The 22,767-nt window shown below is 38.7% G+C and overlaps 1 protein-coding gene across 4 annotated transcripts in view; it reads right to left on the bottom strand.

Moving 5' to 3' along the window:
* GRM7 (glutamate metabotropic receptor 7) overlaps nt 1,846–22,767 on the bottom strand; it is an 880,419-nt gene continuing 859,497 nt past the window's right edge. For all 4 annotated transcript variants that reach the window (NM_181874.3, NM_000844.4, XM_017006272.2 and 1 more), the window contains one exon: nt 1,846–3,022. Coding sequence is in view for 2 of the 4 variants with exons in the window: in NM_000844.4 (NP_000835.1) it covers nt 2,973–3,022 (50 nt within the window). In the remaining 2 variants the exon portion in view is untranslated. The remainder of the gene's footprint in view (nt 3,023–22,767) is intronic.

Raw genomic sequence — 22,767 nt, 5'->3', positions numbered from 1 at the left:
TGTTTTAGCAGAAACTGGAAATAAATGAGGATTTAGAATCATGCAGCTATTTCGGGGAGAGTGTGTTAGGAAGAGAATCATGAAATGCCAAGACTTTGAGGTGGGGTATACCTGGTACAGGTGAAGAGCAAGGAGACCTGCATACCTGAGGGAAGTGAGTATTCATTGTGCTGCCTGGTATTGATAATGTTACCCAATCTATCTGTTCTATGGCTACAGCCACACCTTAACTACTGGGTTGGAGATTAGCATTGTGGAAGATGATTAGAACTGCATTTTGAGGACTAAATAAATTGATATATAAGGTATACATTGTAATATATGTAGTATGCATAAAGTATGTAAAGTATATTATATATATGAGTAACAATTTCTTAAAAATTGTGCTGCAAAAGTTTTACTTTTTATCATTGTCGCTATCCAGATCATTATCTCAATTTGCCCCTGGGAATCCAGAGGAAAAGCAAAGGTCTTTGAAAGTAGCTCTTTCCAATTCTAGATGGAATTGCTTTTGCTACTTCCCTGAATGCATGGTTGTACATTTGAGTACTCGGGAAAGACTCTTACATAATTTCTTTTGAAAGAAATGATTTCTACCACATGCCACAACACAGTCTGGCTTGCCCATGTACTTTTTAAGTTTCTCTTTCCATGTCTGGAATGGAAAGCATAGCACACTTGATTTTATTTTTAAAAGAAAATATAGCAACCATGATGATGTTGATGCTGGTGGTCATAGCCATGTGGTCATAATAGCTAACATGTATGGAGAGTTAGCCATTTGCCAGGCACTGTTGTTATGTCCTACGCATGGATTTTCTCTTAGCCCTCATAACACTATGAGACTGGTAGCACGATTAACCTGTCATCTGCCTGAGGAAATGGAGAATTCAGAATGTTTATGTAACTTCTCCAAGGAGAGTTAGCAGGAGGAGGAGCCAGGTTTTATACCACTTTGGCCTTATGACTTGGAAATGTGGATCACCCAAAACTCATTTCTGCTTTGATTTGTATTTTCCTATGGTCTACTGGTTGAAGGGTATTTAAGGAGTAGGGAAAAATGGGGAAATACATTTGATTTTCTTTAGTCGGATATTGAAAAGAAATAATTTCTAGTGTCTCTAAGCACATTGCTTGGGCTGTGGGAGCTAAGGCACAGTAGGAAGAGTTCTGCAGATGCCAAAGATGAGATGCAGGTATGAGTTTTATTAGTCACAGCAGAAAATAAGTCACAGTTAGCTCCACCATAGAACCTTTAAATACATTTTACTGTTTGGGGCCCGGCCCTGAGTACTAGGAACCAATGTTCCCCTCTGCAAGTAGACAATCTTCTGAGTTCCTGATGGGCCAAGGTGCTATGAATTCATCCTGATGATACTTCCTGCAGTTGAGTTTTGAGAATCCCAAGTCTTAATCTCACTACTGATAATATGGCCACCATATTTGTTTGCAAATACAAAGACAACATAGTAGCTATTTTTACTTATGTCCTTTGGATAAATTTTGCAGAAATATTTATCTCTTCACTAAATTGCCCCCAGACTATTATTTGCTTAAGCTAATATTTCCTCTTCCCTTCCCACTTGCTGAGTAGACATCTGGAGTTATCAGGTCTCAACTTCAATTACGAAGAAAAAAATTGCATGGACTTTGTGATAGGACTTTTTCTATGAGACAACATAGCACCTCTGGGTTTTTAATATGCCTTTCAGAAATGGCTGTAGTCGTGAGCTAAAGCATGTTACTTGAAAAAGTTGGGCTGTCCATATGGCTCTCTAACTTAGGACTTTATGAAATAAACTGTAACTAATGGGAAAAACAACTAAAAATATTTATTGCAGAAAATAAAAAAGTTAACCAAAGTATTTTATTGATACATTCTTGGACAATATCACAGAATTGAAAGAGAATGGAAAGAGGGAATTTTTCAGCAAGGGTTGTTTTTTTCCACTAAATTGGCACATAAGCAGCAAGATTAACGAAAGTACTTATTACAAACAGTAAAAAACATACATGCTTTTTTTCCTAAAGTCCTTATCACACTGATCAGTCAAAGGGGGCATGAACAAAACCTCAAGACATGAAAAATCCATATTCTTTCCTTCAAACAGCTTAATAATTATTAAAATTATTGCAAAATATTCATATACCCTAATTAAAAATAACAAAAGAGAACACAAATACAAATATTGAACATAATAAACATGTACTGTAAAATACATTACTGGCATGCATTCCAAAGATCAAGACCTCTATTCAGTTCAGCCAATACCTTCCTTTTATGTAACCTATCATATACCAAAGATAGGTGGGGCATACTTTCTCAGCACAGTTTTTGGTCTTTAAACATCTTTTTTGTCTTAAAAAAAAAAACATGATGTGCAGTGGTACTATAATCGTAATTATACAGTCATGTACAGATGTACTTGTTTTAGTCTGCCAAGATTGCTTTAAAATTTTAATTGTTTTAAAATTTTTCCAAATATTCCACCGTCTGAGAGAATAGGGCTCTATGAAAACAAGGCATTCGAAAACAAACAGTGAACCGAGGTACGACATCAGATGGCAAAGTGCAAAGGTCCTCACAAACTGTACAGAAAATTTCAAAACCTTGCAACCTAGAAGTACATACGTAATAAGACAGGTCAGCCCCAAAACGGTCCTGTGGCTCTCAGTGGTCCATTCTAAAGAGCCAGGGCGGGACTTGAGTTTCAACACTCCCTTTGGTAGGGAAGGTCCACAATTGCAGCCGAGTTGGCAGTGCTGATGTCAGTGACTTATTAAGCCCAGATAAAGTAAGGATATTTCATAAAGCAGCTGTTTAGGTCGCTTGGATCCTCTAACACTGGTCTCCCGGCCGGGGAAGCTCCTCCGGTGATGGGAAGCGGGTAGGACCAAAGAGTCCTATGCCAGGTTGGGTGACAAAATAACTGAGGGTCTTCCTCCTCCATGGTTCCATGGAATGGAACAGGTTAGATAACCAGGTTATTATAACTGACATACTTCTTTTTTGCAGCAGGGCCTGAAAGAAAAATTAGAAAGTGTCAGTTGCAGTAATAACCCTGTTTGCAAAGGTAGAAATAGAATTAGAACTTTTCACTTGAGGTGCAAAGTCAAAGTGAGGTGATACAGCTCTGAAGAACACACACAGACAACTTTGGATTCCTCTGACTCTAAGGCTTTGGCCACCAAAATCTGTGGTTCCCAGTGATTCTCAAATCAATTGCGTTCTCTTCTCTGAGATGTCTCCAGCTTCCCTCTTTATACTCTATTAATAAATTTATCAGTGGTTGTTATGCTTTCTAATCAATCAACCCTTAACTTAAAGGGTTCACTCACACTGTGGTATATTTCGTTGTGTGCTCTTCTCACAGACCTTTTAATAATAACTGGCCTTTGCTTGGAAAAGGTCTGTCCTGGGTCACTGACATTAGTTGAGGTTGAATGCAGATTAGGTCAGAGTGTCTTCTTTAGTGCTGATTCACACAATCAAAAGACTACAGATTGACTTGTATAGTGTTAACTGTAAGTTATAAATGGTCATTTGCAGAACTATTTCCATTAAGATGTAAAGCTCACTTAAACCTGTCAGGTGTCTGACACATACACACTCTACATTTGTTTTCCCTAAATGTAGAAATTATTTTTCTACTTGGTACAGTGATTTCAGGACTCACCTTCACTCACTCACTCAGGCAGTAAATATGTATCTACTGTATTGCAGCCACAGGGCTAGGCACTGAAGACCAGCCAATGAGCACAGCAGATTTCATGTCCTCATGCTGGAAACAAAGACACCAGGATCCCAGAGTGTGCCTTTGGTTTAGGTTCTAGTCCTCAATACCAAGTCATACTGTTGCAATGATGTGATATATTCTTTATTCACTAAATCTTGGTAGTTTTGCATCAGTTTCTATTGGGCACAGAGTAACTTTTGTGTAGCATTTACTGATGGCTTATTTTGCTTACTGTTTTTAGATTCTAAATAGAAGTGTTCACTCAAGACAGAGAAATGTCAAGAGCTCTTCAAGAACTCTTAAGCAGGGATTCATATACAATTTTGGAGGAACGGAGAAGTCATATTAACATACTGAGAGTTTGTATTTAAACTTTGAATAATACAAGTAGTACGTTACAGGTACATACATGATTATAGATCTTACACAGGGTACTGTACACTATACAACAAGCCTGGTCTTCTTTTCTGGATTAAAAATTGGGATTCTCTGACAAACTTTGACTTGAAGCCTCATTTTTGTTTGAAACTTATTTCTATATTAAACCATACTGAATTTATTAACTAAAATACAAAAAGGTAAATAAGAATAGAATTTTATGAAATTCAGGGCCTCCTGGAAAATCTGGTGATGAGAACTGAGTCACCGTATGTCCTCATTTGATGAACACATGGCCTCAATAATGCCCAAATCTTCCAGGAAGTTTCCCATTATCCCAGTGTTGTCTTCAACAATACGCTTGGTTTGGGTACAAGGAGGAAAACTTTCAAAAGATGTTTCTTGACTCTGAATCTTATTTTCAGTGTCATAGCTAGAAGATCTCAGCTGACAGTTGCAAGCAATAGTCACAGCTTGCCTTGTCAAATATCAACACACTAATTATCCTCAGGACAAAAGAAGGGGAAAAAAAAAAAAAAAGAAAACCCAGAAGCTTGTACTGACCTAAATACCTGAGACCACCTTTACTGTGTGATTAATTAAGACTGTTTTCTGTAGCATAACTGTCTAGTAAAAACAAAAATGAATTTCCTTAAATTGATTACTATAAAACACTAATTTCTCAGGAAGAGTTTTTACCAAAAGAATAAGTAGGTTAGAAAATATGATCCCCAAATTGTAAAGCTGAGCATTGGCTGGGATTAAGTTAAAATCACGATGAGGTTATGTTTAAAAAAATTGGATATAAAAATAATGGCATTCCGTTGATGCTTTACTTAGATTATCTTCTTGTGTTCTCTGTGGCCTTGAGATGAGCACTGTTTATGATCTCCATTTTACATAGGAGGGGTCTGAGGCTCAGAGGAACAAGCAATCCAGAACTAGGCTGCCTGATGGTTGAATCTTTATTTCTGTCTCCATGCTATAATAGGAAGACAATACTGCAGTTGGACTCACCTGACCTGGGTTCTGATTCAGCTCTGTCACTTACTTGAATGTGACCTTGCCCAGTGTCTTGATAATGAACTCGTTGTAGCCTTTGTAAAATTGGGAGAGGCCGGGTATGGTTGCTCATGCCTGTCATCCCAGCACTTTGGGAGGCCGAGACGGGTGGATCATCAGAGGTCAGAAGTTTAAGACCAGCCTGGTCAACATGGTGAAACCCCATCTCTACTAAATATACATAAAATTAGCCAGGCGTGGTGGCGGGCGCCTGTAATCCCAGCTACTCGGGAGGCTGAGGCAGGAGAATCACTTGAACCCGTGAGGCAGAGGTTGCAGTGAGCTGAGATTGCACCATTGCGCTCCAGCCTGCACAACAAGAGCGAAACTTTGTGTCAAAAAAAAAAAAAAAAAAAAATTGGGAGAATAATTTTTACCTGGTGCACTGTTGATATCACCAATGTACAAAATACCCGTTTCTCATCTGGGAATATAATGTATAAATGTATTTTTAAATTACAGAGTTCTATGCAAATGATAAGGCTTAGTACATGCTTTCTTTGCAGAATTGCTAGGAACATTGCCCCAAAATTATAATGAAGTTTATGCAGGTCCTAGAAGGGCAATTTGTGTACTTTTCACAGCAATGTCCAATGTATTAGGTTTATTTTTAAACCATTCTAGTCCTGTGAGTAAATAAAATAAGTGCCTGTGGTGTCTGATAATTCCATTTATTTCACTAGAAATGTAGTTTATGGTCAGGAAAGAAAATTACTGAGCTCAAAATAGTTGCGCAATGAAGCACTTGCTAAGGAAATATACTTTTTATTTTAAAATAGTATGTTTTTCTCTTATAAAGTTACAGATTTTAAAGAATAATAGTATATGGCATTGTCCCTATTAACTTTTTAAAGTTATATCTACTTATCTACATAAGTAGTTCTCAAAACAAGGTATCCTGAAGAGTCAATGTTTACAGTGAGGTAGTGTTAAGAATACTGGTTTATGAAATGAATTATTAATACACCATTGCTACTTAAGAAAGGTAAGATATTCCAACTCATTCTTGATGTCTTGTCAAAATCAACACTCAATTTGACATTAACTTTATTGAGCTTCTTACTTTATCTTTGCTTTTCTCTGAGCTTTTTTGTCTTACAAAAATTTCATTCCTCAAAGTGCATTCTATGGAACACGCGTAACCCAGATTCAAGGAAGTGAAGAAAAATATAGAAAAGAGAGCCTCATAGATATTATGTTGAGAAACACTGAATAAGTGATATTAAACAGTACTCTTTCCTGTTGCCACCCCATATTTAATTTCTTTATATTTTAAGTGATAAGAAATACTGTAGCTTATTAACTATATACCATGTGTTCTCCTCAGCTCTTTTTGAAGAATGTGTGTATAGATGTGTATGTGAATAAGAACATACATGAAGTGATTTAAACATCCAAAAAGGATAAAAACAAAATATAACAAAATATTATATAAGCCCTGAATATAACACTTTGACATACTGACATCTTGATTCAGGTGCCCCTCCATCCACTCATAGGAAATAAGATGCAATCAAAGCCCTTTACACTCCATGTTCTTCCCCATCCCCCCATAGTATCTACTATCCTGAACTTGGGATGTGTGCTCTTGCTACTACAGTGTTGTCCATAAACTATAGCTATATGGATTTCTGTGTTTTAAGTTGTGCAAATTATTCCTTGCATATCCACTTGAAATCTGGTTTCATATAACATTGTGTTTTTAAGATTTACTTACATTGATTTAATAATCATAGTAACTATATAGCTTTCTATATATTAATGTTAGCATAACAGATTTTCTGTAACTCTTTTCCTATTGATAGACTCTGCTTTCTAATGTTTTTGAAATAAGCAATGCTGCAGTAGATGATACCTACAAAACAATATTTTTAACAAAGTTGAATGACAATGCTATAGGGCAGGATAAAACATTTGTCATGTATTTAACTGACAAAAGATTGATATCTAAATTTTTTTAACTTATGCAAAGGAATAAATAAGAAACAATCTAATTTTTAAAAACATAGATTCAAGATGAATAGACAATTTGTAGATGAAGAAATCAAATAAATGAAAATTGTTCAACCTCATCAACTAGAGAAGTGGAAATTAAAACATTAATAAGATAGCATTTAATGCCTGTACCATTACAAAAGAAAAAATGAACTAATACCAAGCATTGGTGGGTGTGAAAAAGTGAGAACTCTCAGACAACACTAAGGTATAAATATAAGTTGGTAAATTTATATGGGAGAGCCATTTGGAAATATCTAGAAAACCTAAAGCTATGCATACCACTGAATCAGCAATTTCACTTCTAGATCTAGACCTGAGATACTTTCATATGTACACATAGACATGCTTAGGATTTCAAAAGCCTTTAATATAATAATTTTCTGTGTGATTCTCCAAGAAAAAATTCTCTTACAGAGGCTAGGCACATAAAGGTGCAAAGTGAGCCAGGTGTAAGATATTAAGGAAGGATACAGACCATAGTGAACTAGAAATCACCTGCCCCATCTAAAAGGCATAATTATGTGGGATGTTACCACAATAGGACTTTATAGTACATTTTTTGAGGAGGAGCTTGACTGTATAATTTTATGTAAAAGTTCATTTTTTCACTCAGCCATCTAACAAATATTTATTGAGCATGTATTATGTGTTGGGCTATATTCTGAGCATTAGAAATACCTCAGTTTTCAATAAAAGTTTTAAGAGCATATTAAAACCATTTAGCAAATCAAAAAAGAAATAGAGACCAGAGGCTAGATAGCATCTCTAGGCTGCTTGTTTTCAACTCTGTAATCCTGTCTGCACCCTCTCCTGCTCCCCTTTTTAGTGGATCATTTTGCATTATGTAAGAACATACTTTTGGAAGTACATGGGGATATTTCTTAAACCTTAACCCTGCCTATCACTTTAGTCATTTGTAAATCTCACCAAACTTCTGCATGTTGGATTATTGCCTGATACAACTTTGTCCAAACTAACTTTTGTATGAAACCATTCAAAGCACTGTCTGTGCCTCTTCCCCCACCAACTCTGCCAACTAATGCTTCCCTATTAAACATGATTCACAGTTGTTGTTTACTTATAACTATTTCAACTGGGAGGGATTCTTTATATTATGGTTTGCAGTTACTAAAATAAAAAGAAGTACTTTTTTTTGTAATTACTTCTGTAGTCAATGGCCTGTTTCCTGCCTGTTCATTTCATTAGTAAATTGCCCTTAGCCCATCACTAAATAGCAAAAGAGTAGATGTTCTCTTCAACATCTCAATTCTCATTTGAGACTTCAAGAAAGCTACTAAACTTCCTGTATCTTACAAAGAAGAAGCAATTCATTTTATAATGATCTCTCTTAAATCCTTTTTTAAATTTACTACTCAGTTTAGCACATTCCTCAACTTGAGAAGATACAAAGCTAAAGAATGAAGAACATGACTACCAAAAAAATGGAGACATTCCCAATTATACCAGTTCAATTCTGAACTATAAAACAATGGAGACTTTCTCCATCTCCCAGGAGAATGTGAGGCTATTGCTCATATGTTTGGTACCTGGATTTGTTGACACAAGAAACTTGGCAGGGGTAAAAACATGATCAGTCAGAAAAATAACTCAGTATTTCAAATCACCATAATTTCCAATCCAGTGGCAAAAACTCCCAAATCTGGATTTCTGTTGACTACTCAGCCATTCATCTAACAAAATATTACTTAACACATATTAAACACCAGGAACTTTACTACATGCTAACATTGAAAGCAGACATGGGAATCTGTAAGCTGTTCACTTTAACATTTACTCACTTCTCATTCATTGTATATTCACATTTTTTAACAAATATATTAAAGCTGCCATGTGTCATCAGCAAGGGATTGGCATATCCTTTTTTTCTACTCAGTGAGATGAAGATAAAGCATGAATTTATAAACTAAACTCACATTGAGAGGAAACCCCCCCCCCGCCCCTGCCAAAGCAAATTGGCACCCCTTCCTAATGGTGAATAAGGGAGGTAGGTCAGTGGATGGTGAGGCAGCAAACCTGTTACCATATTTGGAGAAAATAGTGATCCACTTCAAGAGAATGGAGAAGCATCAGCCTAGATAACCTTAGAGAAAATGTGTGAAGTGTTTGCCCCATTTGTGCCAGGAACAGGGAAATGAGTCAGATACAATCTTTATTGTTATAGAACTTATAATGCAAAAAAACTATTACATATCTGTGATGAGTGCTTAAAGATATTTTACAAAGACTAATTTTGTCTTGGAAGAGGATGTACTGTGCTAAGCCTGGGAAGGCTTTTCAGTGGAAGGGGCATTGATTTGGACCATGCAGTGTGAGACAATTTAAGAAGAGGGCAGGGCAATATAAAGGTATACTTTGTTTCCAAAGGTGCGTGGAGAGGAGGGTCAGACAGTGCTGGAAGTCAAGGCTGGAAAGGTAGGCAGGGCCACATAAATTACTTCAATAAATAAAACTTCAATAAACCTGCAGATTGTCATAACAAATTCAGGGTAGTGTCAGAGGCATTTGAACCAGGGCAACTCCATCTTGAATAGGGACTGGGTAAAATAAGGCTGAGACCTTCTGAGCTGCATTCCCAGGAGGTTAAGGTACTCTAATGATAGAGGCAGGAGGCAGAGAAATGGCTAGGCAGATAGGGAAGGGTCCCCGGAAAATCTGACCCACCCCACAAGTGTTTACAACAGATGTTTTGTGCAGACAAGGGGGCAGTGGACTGGAGGCCCACATGCACTGGGGGAATGGGGTGGAGCCACCAGAAACAAACATCTTATTCAGGGGAAGAGCCTGGCATCTTTGGCTCCTGTGTGGTGACCCTGGTATTCAGTTTGTGAGGTGGAAACCTGCTTGCAGGATCCCTGTCTTTGCTGAGAGCTTTCCTTTCGCTTAATAAATTCTGCCCTCCTCACTCTTCAGTGTGTTCATGTGCCTAATTCTTCCTGGTTGTGAGATAAGAACCTGGATTTAACTGAAATAAGGAGTAAAAATCCTACATCACTACTTAGGATGACTACTCAGCCTAAGTCACAGGATGAGAGAGGAGGTTGGCACAAGATACAGGTCATAAAGACCTTGCTGATAAAATAGCATGCAGTAAGGCCAAATCCCACCAAAACAAAGACAGTGATGAAAGTGACCTCTGGTCATCCTCGCTGCTACCCTCCCACCAGTTTACAAATGCCATAGCCACATCAGGAGGTTACTCTATATGGTCTAAAAAGGGGAGGAATGAATAATCCACTCCTTGTTTAGCAGATAGTTAAGAAATAACCATAAAAATGGGCAACCAGCGGCCCTTGGGGTGCTCTGCCTATGGAATAGCCATTCTTTATTTTACTTTCTTAATAAACTTGCTTTCGCTTTGCACTGTGGACTAACCCTGAATTCTTTCTTCTGCAAGAGCCAAGAACCCTTTCTTGGGGTCTGGATCAGAGAGTACCAGTACCAGTGTGGTTCAGTAACAGTACCAGAAACAGAAGAATGAACAAGTCAGAATGTCTATGATTATTTAGCTTTCTAATGAACGTTCTCATAAAAAGCCTTTAATGCTAAAGCAGTCGTACTTGAGAAGCCACAGGGAAATATTCACAGTTTTGAAGAGGATCCTCACACTAGTTTTTCCCTCTCGGTAATGTCCTTCTTTGCCTTTTTTCCTTAACTGGTTTCCTGTTCTTTGCTCTGGTTGGTTTTAGTTTCTAGTCACTTGCTCCAAGTGGCCTTCCTATCCCTCCAGACAAGTGAGATGTTCCTGCTGCACCCTCTCATGACCTCTCTACTATTCCCTCCTCATACACAACCAGGGTGAAGCACTAATTTCTCATGTGTGTTTCTGACATTAGAACTTTAAGTATCAGGATGGCAGAGACAGTTTTTTTCTAGTGCTTGGGAAGTGTGCAATGTATAGTTGGCACTCAATATTTTTGGGATGTGTTACCATAGAGAAGCCTTTTGTAATTGCCCTTCCTGCCCACTGCATAAAGAAAGACCACAGCATTGTCATAGAGAAAGAGCTTAATACGGGAGGCTGAGGCAGGAGAATGGCGTGAACCTGGGAGGCGGAGCTTGCAGTGAGCCAAGATCACGCCACTGCACTCCAGCCTGGGCGACAAAGCGAGACTCTGTCTCAAACAAAAAAAAGCTTAATAGACACGAGGCCGGCCATACCACGTGGAAGATGGAGTTTGCACTCATATTATCTCGTTCAAAGCTCACAAGTTAGGGGTTTTTCAAAGACAGTTTAAGGGAAGGGGTGGGAGTGGCCAGGTAACAGATGCTTGCTGCTGATTGGTTGGGACAGAGATGAAATAGTGGGCCAAAGCTGTCTTCCTGAGGACTAAATTGCTTCTGGGTGGGGCCACAAGAGTGGGGGCGCTGGCGATCCACGGGGAGCCATGAGTGTCAGACATGCAAAACAAACAGAAAAGCTATCTCAAAAGGCCAGTCTACAATTGTGGTGTTATTTGCAGGTGTAATTGGGGAAATTGCATGTCTTAGAATCTCTGGAATAATGGCTGACAATCATGCATGTCTGAGCCTTAGCAGGACTCAGCCTCCTCTCCCTCTCCTCCTCCTAGCCTGGTGGCCTCCCTTTAGCTTTACAAAAGTGGTTGAGTTTTGGGCAAGGCCTATTATCATTTAAATTGTAGCCTAAATGTCTTCCAAAGTTAGCTTGGCCCAATAGCCCAGCAATAATTAAGGGAAAGACAAGATGGGGGTTGAGTTAGCTCGCTTACTGTTAGAATTTTCTCACTGATATAACTTTTGCAAATGCAGTTTCACTTTGCTCTCTGAAGTCATTGTCAGCTCTAGGAGGGTCTTAGAGATGAATAGAACAAAAGAAAAATATGTGGGAACTTCATGAGCTTTGCCATCCTTTTTTTCCATCCCTTTTTTCAGTATTCTCCTATGGGTTACTGTATTTAAAGCTAACCCTTATTATAACTCATCAGATTTCCTTTGTAACTTTTCAGCCACAGCATTCTTTTTTTCCCCCTCTTTTTGCATCTAAACATGGCCAAAACAGCCTGGCTAAATTGAGAAATCAATTTTCAGTTCTGTCATGAAAAGAGTACATGAACGTTCTAGTGTCTCTTAAAAAAAAAAACAAAAGAAAAAACTAATTTGTACTTTAAGATGTAAAGCATCAAACAGAGGTTTACGTCGTTCTTAAATGGCATATTTGAAACAAACAGACAAAGTCTCTGTCTTAAAACATCTTTAAGCTTGGCTAAGTTAAAATCTAGGTACTTTGATGGTGTATATGTTTTACTTTGGAAAAAAATAGATATGCATTAAATTACCACATCAGATTTCTACTTTTTCTTATGCACTTTGGGCACTGAAAAGCTTTTGTGCATTTTATAATTTCAATATATTATAGATGCAAGCAATCTGGAGCATATTATGAATGCAGTGCAATCATACATCAAAGATCGAAGCTGTGAACCAAAGTCTGTCTTAAGGCTAATGTTACAAACAAGGCAATAGTGACAAAATAGCAGCAGAGTAGTACTTAGTGTTCCTGGATGAAAAGCTCCTGCTGAAATCCAGGTCTTGCTATTTTTGGATAAGACATTCATAGTCTCTTCATTCATTCCTTTATACATTTATTGAACTTTTACTAAGAACTCACAGTGTACTAGTATAGCCTGGCTATAAACCAGTGGCACAGAAGCAAGGAAAAATAGTCCATATCCTCGAACAGTTTCTGGTTCAGTACAATTCAACATGTATCTGTTGAGCACCTACTATTTGTCAGATACTGTTTTAGGCAATAGGGATGTAGCCATGTTACTGTGCAGGTTCAGTCCCTGCTTTCACAGAGCTTAAATTCTACTTGGAAAGACAGATCTTAAAACAAACAAACAAACAAACAAAAAAACAGGCCAGGTGCAGTGGCTCACGCTTGTAATCCCAGCACTTTGGGAGGCCAAGGTGGGCGGATCACAAGGTCAAGAGATTGAGACCATCCTGGCCAACATGGTGAAACCCTGTATCTACTAAAAATACAAAAATTAGCCAGGTGTGGTGGTGGGCGCCTGTAATCCCAGCACTTTGGGAGGCCAAGGTGGGCAGATCATAAGGTCAACAGATCGAAACCAGCCTGTCCAACATGGTGAAACCCTGTCTCTACTAAAAATACAAAAATTAGCCAGGTGTGATGGTGGGCGCCTGCAATCCCAGCTACTTGGGAGACTGAGGCAGGAGAATTGCTTGAACCCAGGAGGTGGAGGTTTCAGTGAGCTGAGATCGTGCCACTGTACTCCAGCCTGGGCGACAGAGCAAGACTTCATCTCAAAAAAAAAAAAAAAAAAAAAAAGCCGGAGGTGGTGGCATGCACCTGTAATCCCAGCTACTCAGGAGGCTGACGCAGGAGAATCCCTTGAACCCAGGAGGCGGAGGTTGCAGTGAGCCGAGATTGCGCCATTGCACTCCAGCCTGGCAACAGAGTGAGACTCCGTCTCAAAAACAAAAAACAAAAGTAGATGCAGCCAATTCTCTTTATTCACGGCACTTATATTCTATAAAATCACCACAAACACTGAATTACTGAATACTGAACCACTGCTTCTAGAGCAAAATACAGCGTTAGTTACCTATACCCCTCCAGTCACAACATAACCTTATTTTGTGTATATGTTTGGTTAAAAACACTTTATTATTACATATTGTTGACTCAGTAATATTGAAATCAGAGCTGACAAATGCCTGTAAAAAGCGTCTCTAACACATGTACTTTCTCCTGAAGGCTGACACATCATAGCCTTCTTGCACTTAGGAATATGACACAGCACTTTAGTAATATGTATAGGAGTTATTTTAAACTGCAAAACCACCAACCAAAAGTACAGGTGTTAAATAGTCTGAGAAAAGGACACGTTCAAATATGAGAGCTGAAACCAGAAGGTAGGGCATCACCCTTTTTGACCTCAGCTGCAAATGCGTGCATTGGGTGATTCAAATAGTTTGGTGCACTGTATATTCCTGTGAATGACTGTGAAAACGCCATAAGTATTGATGTTGGGGTTACCAATCAATTTCAGCGTGTGGGTGAATTTGCAAATATAAAATTTACTGATACTGAGAATCAACTGTATTACAATGTCATGGAATCCCCAAAACTATGGGGAAAAAAAAAAAAAAAAAGCCTGAGGGCATTATGCTGAGGTTGCTGTCCAAGGTGCAGAGAGGATGACTTGTTTCTTACTTATCTCCATAGGTAGGAGGTGCCAATTACAAGAAAGAAGACCAGCTAGGAATTGATGGAATAATTAGCACTATGTGTTAGTGGAATTCCAAGTCAGTACTACAGTGGGATTCTAAACGAACAAGCAAATAGAGATGCCGCTGCTTTCACCAACACCATGTGGTGTGGCAGACCAGTTCTTCCTAACAGTCACACAGACAGGCCTCCATAGCACTCCAGTTATACAGGCAAACTTCCACAGCATCTGCCTTCACATTAAGTTAATAATTAAACCTAGGGAAATTGATGCCCTGGCACCAAAGCCAGAAATGAAACATGTTCCATAAGAGCCTTGCTCAGGCTTCTCCTGAAACCTGGGGTAAGTCAAGATAATAAAGATAGTCCTGTGCTCCTTGGGACCCATCTTGGGTTGAGTAAATTTCTGGGGGGTTTGAAGTAACTTTCCATACCCAAATTGTAGGTAAGATAAGATAGAAGTAATCACTCCAGTACCAGGGCCCTCATAGGTCAAGTAGATTTAGGGGATAATTCTGGCCTCTTACCTTTCAGTTACAACAAAATTAATCAGGCATAGAGATCGGCAAGTATGTTACTACATGTAGGTATATAGTTTGAAACATATATAAGCACTGGAAAAACTTTACAATTGTGAGTTGGTCTGGTGAATTATCTCTGACCTTCTCCCTTTACCTGGTTACAGACATAAACTCTCTTCTTTTCCAGTTTGTCTGCATCTTGTTATTGGGCCACAAGAACACACAGCCAGACCCGGTTCGGTCTGGGAACAATGTCCTCTTATGAAAGCATCCTTGAGGCTGGAGCTACTTTTTCTTTTCTTTGTTTTTAATGTGAGAAGGGTACGTGTGTGCCATCACAGTCAAGTCCTGTTAAGTTCAGTGGCTTCTTGTTTTGACTGCGGATCTCAGAGGACCAAGAGGGCTCAAAGGAGAGGAAACCAGAAAGATTCCTGGCTAGGAAAAGAGAAGAGATGAAGGGAAACTTAACTATTTTTTCCTTTCTTGGAATCCAACTAGGCTTAGCCTGACAGGCAAAAGACAGAATCGCAGAGCTGCAGCTCTGTCTAGGATTAAAGATGGCTAGAATGTCCCAAGGACTGTGTATGTTGGGATCTTGGCCATGGGAGATGGAAAGGTTGGGACCTAGGATAGATAGGAGAAGTGAGACAAAGCTCGACCAATATAAAACAAATATCTACTAAGTTTTAAGCACAGGTTGCTGGGGATACAGAGGGAGTAAGATGTCTTTGTCCTCAAAGATTTAACAGACCAGAAGCCTATGTGGTTAAATTGGGTCGGCATTGACTGTGAAGCTTGAGAATGTAAGTCACTTCTCATACATAGGCTTCTCGTGTGTATGAAGCTGACCAGCTCACACTCAGACTGGGACATAATGTGTCAGTCTCAACACTAGAACTCTGGAGTTACAGTTCCTTTTGTGTTCTGCTTATATTTCATATACATTTGTTAATTTATTTAATAGCAACTCCTCTGAGTCAAAGAAACTAAAATTAAAACACCAGTGAATTTCAGGGTGTCTTATTGTTTTTTGTTTTAATGTGAACAATAATCATTTTTAAAAATTTAGTCAATCTATGATTTAGTACAAGCAACATGCATTTGAAAAGCAGTATGTATTAAGAATGTGAAAAAAGGACCCTGTTAACTGCATTAAGATGTTCATGATGATGTACAATATAATTTGCAATTTTAAATAACCCAAATGCCTAACATTAAAGGGTGATTAAATTCTAATACATTCTTTTGATGGGGCATTTTAAACCTGTCAAAGGTGATAATGATGATTAAGATTATGGAGCAACATAGAAAATGCTTATGTGCTATATTGTTAATAATATTTAGTACAAAAGGACATGTTTGAAAATTGTGAGTATTCTGTAATTAAAACTGCATCAAAAATATGAAAGAAAATAAATCAAAATTTTAAAAGCCATAAGAAAACTGGTGACCTTTTCAAATATTTCAACGCTGTAAAAGACAAAACAAAATGTGATGAGACTGTTTTAGATTACCGGAGACTGAAGAAACAAAAAGATTAAAAATGCATGATCCTTGATTACAACATAGATTTTTTTTTTAAAGGAAACAGCCATGTTGGGAAAATCGTATCTTGACTTTATAGTAAATAATAATACATCAATATTAAATTTATTGGATGAGAAATGATATTGAGGTTTTGTAGAACAAAGTTGTTCTTAGGAGGTACATGCTGAATTATTCAGGAGTATTACAGTCATGATGTGTGCAACTTGCTTATAAACAGCTAATGGGGAAAACCTATATATATATATATATATATATATATATATATATATATATATATATATATAGAGGGAGAGAGAGACGGAGAAAATGAATATGGCAACATGTTAGTGAGTGGTGATTACATATTGTTGGTCCTCATTTCAATGTATTCGTAAGTTTTAAACTTTTCAAAATAAAATGTAGGGAGAAATGATTTATAAAGCTCTATTAGGGTAGTTGAATTAAATGTTTTTTACATTTTACTTTGTACATTTTACTTTTTAAGCTACATTTTCTATAATGCTATCTTTTTATATTGAAAGTAAATTAGTTATTTTTAACAACAAGATATAGGTAGATGACAGTGACCGTCTCTCAGGCCTGAGTAGCCACATCCCTTTTCTTCTTTTTCAAGGGTCTCTTTAGGATGAAGGGAATTTCTTGTTCTGCCAGTTTTGTCCTGTGAGCTCCTGCAAAATAGTCTCTGAAGAGGCCTCTAAGGGGTGACTCTCCTACGCAATCTAATACCCCCATTTTGTCTTCTGTCATATTTTTTGTTAGATTGACCAATAATTTAAAACCACTGTTATAGATTCTGACTCATTATTAATTACAAAATGACCCTTTCTTCCAGGCTTTTGGGAAAATAGCCCTAAGAATTTTGTCTAGTCTTCATTTTTCCCCCACACAATGTGTACCTACCTTATGTAATAAATGGCCTCCTAAAATATTTCCTGAGGCATTCATATGTTGAATACACCTATGAGAGACTTCTCCCCCTAACGTTGGAGTGGAATTTTTTTTTCAATAAAGTATCTCTATTTAGCTGTTTTATAACTTTAGCTTTTAAACTATGTAAATCATGATGTCATGTCCTAGAAGGAGAAAGTGCTGGAATGGATTGATAATGTCTGTTGAAAGTAGAAAGTGGACAGCCCCAGCCAGGTAATGGACTAATCTGGACTAAGTCATGCATCTCTCAATGCACTGGAACTTGTCAGCTTATCCTCAGAAGAAACCCCGGTGGGAACACCTGTCTACAGAGGGTTGGCTTCCCTCCCACAGAGGAGTATCATTGAGATGCAGTGATAAGTAGAAGCGAAAATGTAAACACCATGCCCTGGGTCAGAAGGATAATGCCTATGACCTTTCCTGGCTCTTCCAAACCAAGGCCTTTACTTCTGTGTGTGTGTGTGTGCCTGTGTGATGTCTCAGGAGTTGATTTATTCAAAGGATGGAGAAAATATAGAAATGGAAGGAAGAAGTGGGGAAAGAATTCTGAGTCTGGCCCCAAAGCTCATACAGAGTTACTTCTACATAAAACCCAGGCCAAAAGTATCCACAGGAGAGGAAAAGAGGCTGTGGAGGCAGTGATACCCTCTAACTATCTGTTCCAGAATTTTTTTTCCCAAGATATTCCCAAAGATGGCTGTTTCTCTTTCTTCAGGATTAAATTTCTCTTCCTTGGAGAGGCCCTCCTTCATCCCCTCTGTGAAACAGCACTTGCCAACCCCCAGTTGCTCCCTAGTTAACTACAGCTTATTTTTTGTCATATCACTGTCACTCTCGAAGTGTTCCAATTTGTTTATATTTCAATGTATTTTCTTGTCTGCCCTCTGGAATGTAAACTGCTCATGTCTTGATGAAAATTATATCCACAGGACTTAGAACTGTGTATTATTGCTTGAAGCTAGGAGTTTGAGAATAGCATGGGCACTAAAGTAAGACCCCATCTCTGTAAAAAATAAAAAAAAAATAATAATAAAACAACAGCTGGGCCTGGTGTCAAGCGCCTGTGGTCCCAGCTACTTGGGGAAGCTGAGGCAGGAGGATCGAGTGAGCTCAGGGATTCAAGGCTGCAGTGAGTGAGCTATGATTGTGCCACTGCACTCTAGCCTGGCAACAGAGTGAGACCCTGTCTCTAAAGAAACAAAAAGACAAAAATAATGGAATGGGTAAATGGTGAGAGGTCCTTGGTTTGGGATTAGTAGGAAATAATGACAAACAGGCCCCAACTCAACGTTCTGACTTGTATTCCTTAAAACTGGTGCCTTTGACTGTATGCTTTCAGCTGGTATTTTCACCTTCTTTTTGAGATAGATGCAAAGTGGTGAGGAAACTGACAGTGTTGTCCTTATCTGCTTCCATGAGTAGGAACAGCCTCTGATCCTCCTAGCTGTTGAGCAGTTCTTCTAGTTACCTAATCGGGAAAAAGTAGTTATTTATTGCAGGGAATAATGAAGAGTATCTAAACTTATTGAATGTGGGAAATAGAAAAGGGACTGTATTCTGACAAAGTATGGATGGAACAGGTCCCTAAGAATTCCATGCCTGAATTAGGAGAGTGGCTTCTACTGAATAAATGAAAGAGTACACTAGAAATCGGTTATGGCTGTGGATGTTTCAAGCATGGTGAGTTGAGGGAAGAAATTGAGGGCATCTGTGGCATGGGCCTCACTAACCAAAATGTCCTTGCTTCATTGTTGCTTTCTCATGGATAGGGAATTTGAGTGGTTAATACAGGCAGGCATGGTTCCGTATTACAGGCAGGCATGGTTCTGGGCACCTATGGCTGATCAGAGCAACACAGCCTGTGCCCAGACATATCAGGCTCACAACAGCTCCGTATTTTCCATCTTCACTATTCTCTGTGGACGTGCTTTCTGTTGTCTTCGTTTCTCATGCACACTGCCAGTCCGTTGCTTTGAAGCTAGCTTAGAATCCAGGTAGGAGATGGTGGATGGATACTGGCTCTCCAACAAGTATATTAGATTCAAGGAGTTTCAGACTACTTAAATTATTTTAGGGATATATATCAAGTTCCTTATTTTTTATTAAAAAAATGTTTTTGGGGTGGGGTGCTCTCACTCTGTTGCCCAGGCTGGAGTGCAGTGGCCCAATTATAGCTCACTGCAACCTCAAACTCCTGGGTTCTAGCCATTCCACCACAGCTTCCCAAATAGCTGGGACTACAGGTGCACGCCACCATGCCTGACTCATTTTTAAATTTGTTGTAGAGATGGGGGTCTTATTATGTTACCGAGGCTCGTGTTGAAATCTTGGCCTCAAGTCATCCTCCCATGTCAGCCTCCCAAAGTGCTGGGATTACTGGTGTGAGCCAAGTGTGCCATTGTGCCCTACCTAAATTCCTTATTTCAGATTGATGGGGTTATAGCCTTTCCTTAAACACATTCTGCTTGCTGTGGTGATGTCTAGTGGACCTGCACACACTGTCCATTCCTGTTTGCACTTAGACCAGACAACTTGTGATGTAATTTGAGGGGATCTAACAAGAGCCTGGAATTCCCATCACTAGAATTTAGCAGGGGTCTTACAGAGGTGAGCACTTAGCTGGAAGGTGTTGAGTCTGGAGAGACTAGATTGAGGAAGCTCAGGAGTTCCTTCCATTAGGAGCAATAAAGGGATCTCGAAGATGAGAGCACAAGCTGGGTATTAAGTGATGTCAGAGAATTACTGTTAATTAGGTTGGACATGATAATGGTATTATGATTATGTTGGAGAATTGCTGTATTTTGTGATAAGCTAAAATAATTTGGAGTACTGGTGTCTGTAGGTAACTCTAAAATGTTTAAAGACAAAAATACATAGGTATAGATGAAGCAAACATGGTAAAACCTTAACAGTTAAATCTTTGTGGTGGATGATACTACTGTTCTTTCTACTTTTCTGAATGTTTGAAGTCTTATGATAAAAAAATTTGAAGCCTCCTGTCTCCAAAGCAAAATTTATGCTTCACAACTTTTCTGGAGCTTGTCTCACTTTTATCTCCTAACATCTACCACCAAGAATTAATACTGTCAAGTCAGTCTTCTCTATGTATTTCAGAGTGCCACTGCACTCCAGCCTGGGTGACAGAGTGAGACCCTGTCTCTAATTCAGGAGTGATCATCAAAATAGCCACCAGCATGAAAAACAGAGCAGTGGGAAAAACACAAGGGGCCGGGCGTGGTGGCTCACACCTGTAATCCCAACATTTTGGGAGGCCGAGGTGGTGGATCACTTGAGCTCAGGAGTTTGAGACCAGCCTGGCCAACGTGGTGAACCCCTGTCTCTACTAAAATTACAAAACTTAGCCGGGCATGGTGGTACATGGCTGTGGTCCCAGCTACTCGGGAGTCTAAGGCAGAACAATCTCTTAAATCCAGGAGGCAGAGATTGCAGTGAGCTGAGATCGCCACTGCACTTCAGCCTAGGCAACAGAGCAAGACTGTCTCAAAAAAAAAAAAAAAAGACACAAGGATTGTCACCATTCAGCTGTATGACCCTGGCCAAGTTACTTTATCTCTTCATGCCTTGATTTTCTCATCTGAAAAATGGACAAAGTAATAGTACTATAGTATAACAACTCTAAGGTTTTTCTAAGGATTGAAGGAGTTACTGTATTTAACGAACTAGAACAGGACTTGGTAAAATTTGTACTCAATATATTTTAGCTATGCTTAATCTTCTGAATGCATATGGAAAATTTCTCTGCACACACATATAACACTGATACGTGTTTTCAAGTACTTTTCTCTCGACAGAAAGGGGTCCTTCCAAAGCAGGTCAGCCTGCCTATAAAATGAAACTAAATTCGTTGTTTGGTTTTTTGACACTGTTAGGGTGCCAGCAACTGTCCTTGAGAGGTTTAAGGAGATGTCAGAGCACCTAGTACATTCCATCCATTGATTGAAAAAGGAATCTGTCAAATGTTTGTCAACATATTTCCACTTCCATCCACGCATACTGTCATCATTAGCCACTGTTCCACCTCTGTGAAAGTGTGACCTCGAAATCTTGTGCTTTGAGAGGTTGTATGATTCAAGTGGACTCAAAGGGGAAAGCAGGGAATTGCCAAAAATGACAGTTTCTTATTCTATAGAATAGTATTGTGTGTGCACATAATCAATGGCCCCGCTAGTCTTGCATACAACCATGTCAACTCTGTGCAATACTGGAACTGGGAATCATTGAGTTTGAGAACCTCATTGTAGTGATGTGACACCATTTGCAAAATCAGTCACTGGAGACTATAAATGAGCATTTATTTATATATTTTATTCATTTTGGTTTAATAAATTGGATATCTACTGATTAGTGCTAGAAGAATGTCAGTTAGGTTAGCTGAAGTAAGTTTATTTATTCACTACTCAATTTTGCAGTGAAGAATTGATCTATGTCTGCACTGATCAAGTGAAGACTGGGAGAACTACCAAGCTGATGCTGTCAAAAAGACTACAACCAAAGCTATCCATGCACATCTCTGGCGTATGTCTGTACATACACATTGAGCCCATATGGCCCAGGTTGGTTATCAAACAGACTCAGCAGTTATCACTGAGAATCCCACATTCCCCCAGAAACGTTATGTATCCAACACCCAAAACAACTTGTTACATCTCAAAGAGGGGTCTACCTTATACAATTTGACCAAAAACTGAAAACTGTGTGGGATGAATCTTTATGAAAAAACCAATATTGCCAAAATAAGGAATACCAACAAAATTTTCTCTTGATAGTTTTTGTTCCTAGAAATTAAGAGGTTAAATATGGATCCTGTTAAGAACTTAAGCATGAGTCCTAGATGATGCAATAAACAGTACAAACACTTGTGCTCTGAATGTAGTAGCATCTGTTGAGCATTTACTATGTGCTAGAAATAGTGCTAAGCATTTCATATTCATGGGCCCTTTTAATCCTTCCAGCAAGCTCTATGAAGTAGGTACCAGCATTATCTCTACTTTACCAAAGTAGATCTGAGGCTAAGAGAGGTTAAGGAACACATCCAGTGCAATTTCAGATATCCCCGCCTTTTCTGAATCATGGTTTTGGTAAGACAAGAGAGGGCTATGAGAGGAGGGGCTGACATCAGGAGCCAGAGGTAATTCTCATTCAACAAACATTTTCCAGCTGTCTACTATGTGCCAGACATGGCTGGATAGTAAGTACCAAAAAGTTATGGACAACATCATTGTTGCTCAGTTCTTTTTATCTTTAGCACCTATCACCTCTTGATTTCTTTTCTGAAATTCTATCTCCCCAGCTTCCATGAATGTTCAAGTTGTTGCAGGAAGCTGCAAATGCTGTA

The sequence above is a fragment of the Homo sapiens genome, chromosome 3 (assembly GCF_000001405.40).
Source record: "Homo sapiens chromosome 3, GRCh38.p14 Primary Assembly".
In the NCBI taxonomy this organism is placed as follows: domain Eukaryota; kingdom Metazoa; phylum Chordata; class Mammalia; order Primates; family Hominidae; genus Homo; species Homo sapiens.
This window is presented reverse-complemented; position numbering and strand designations above follow the sequence as displayed.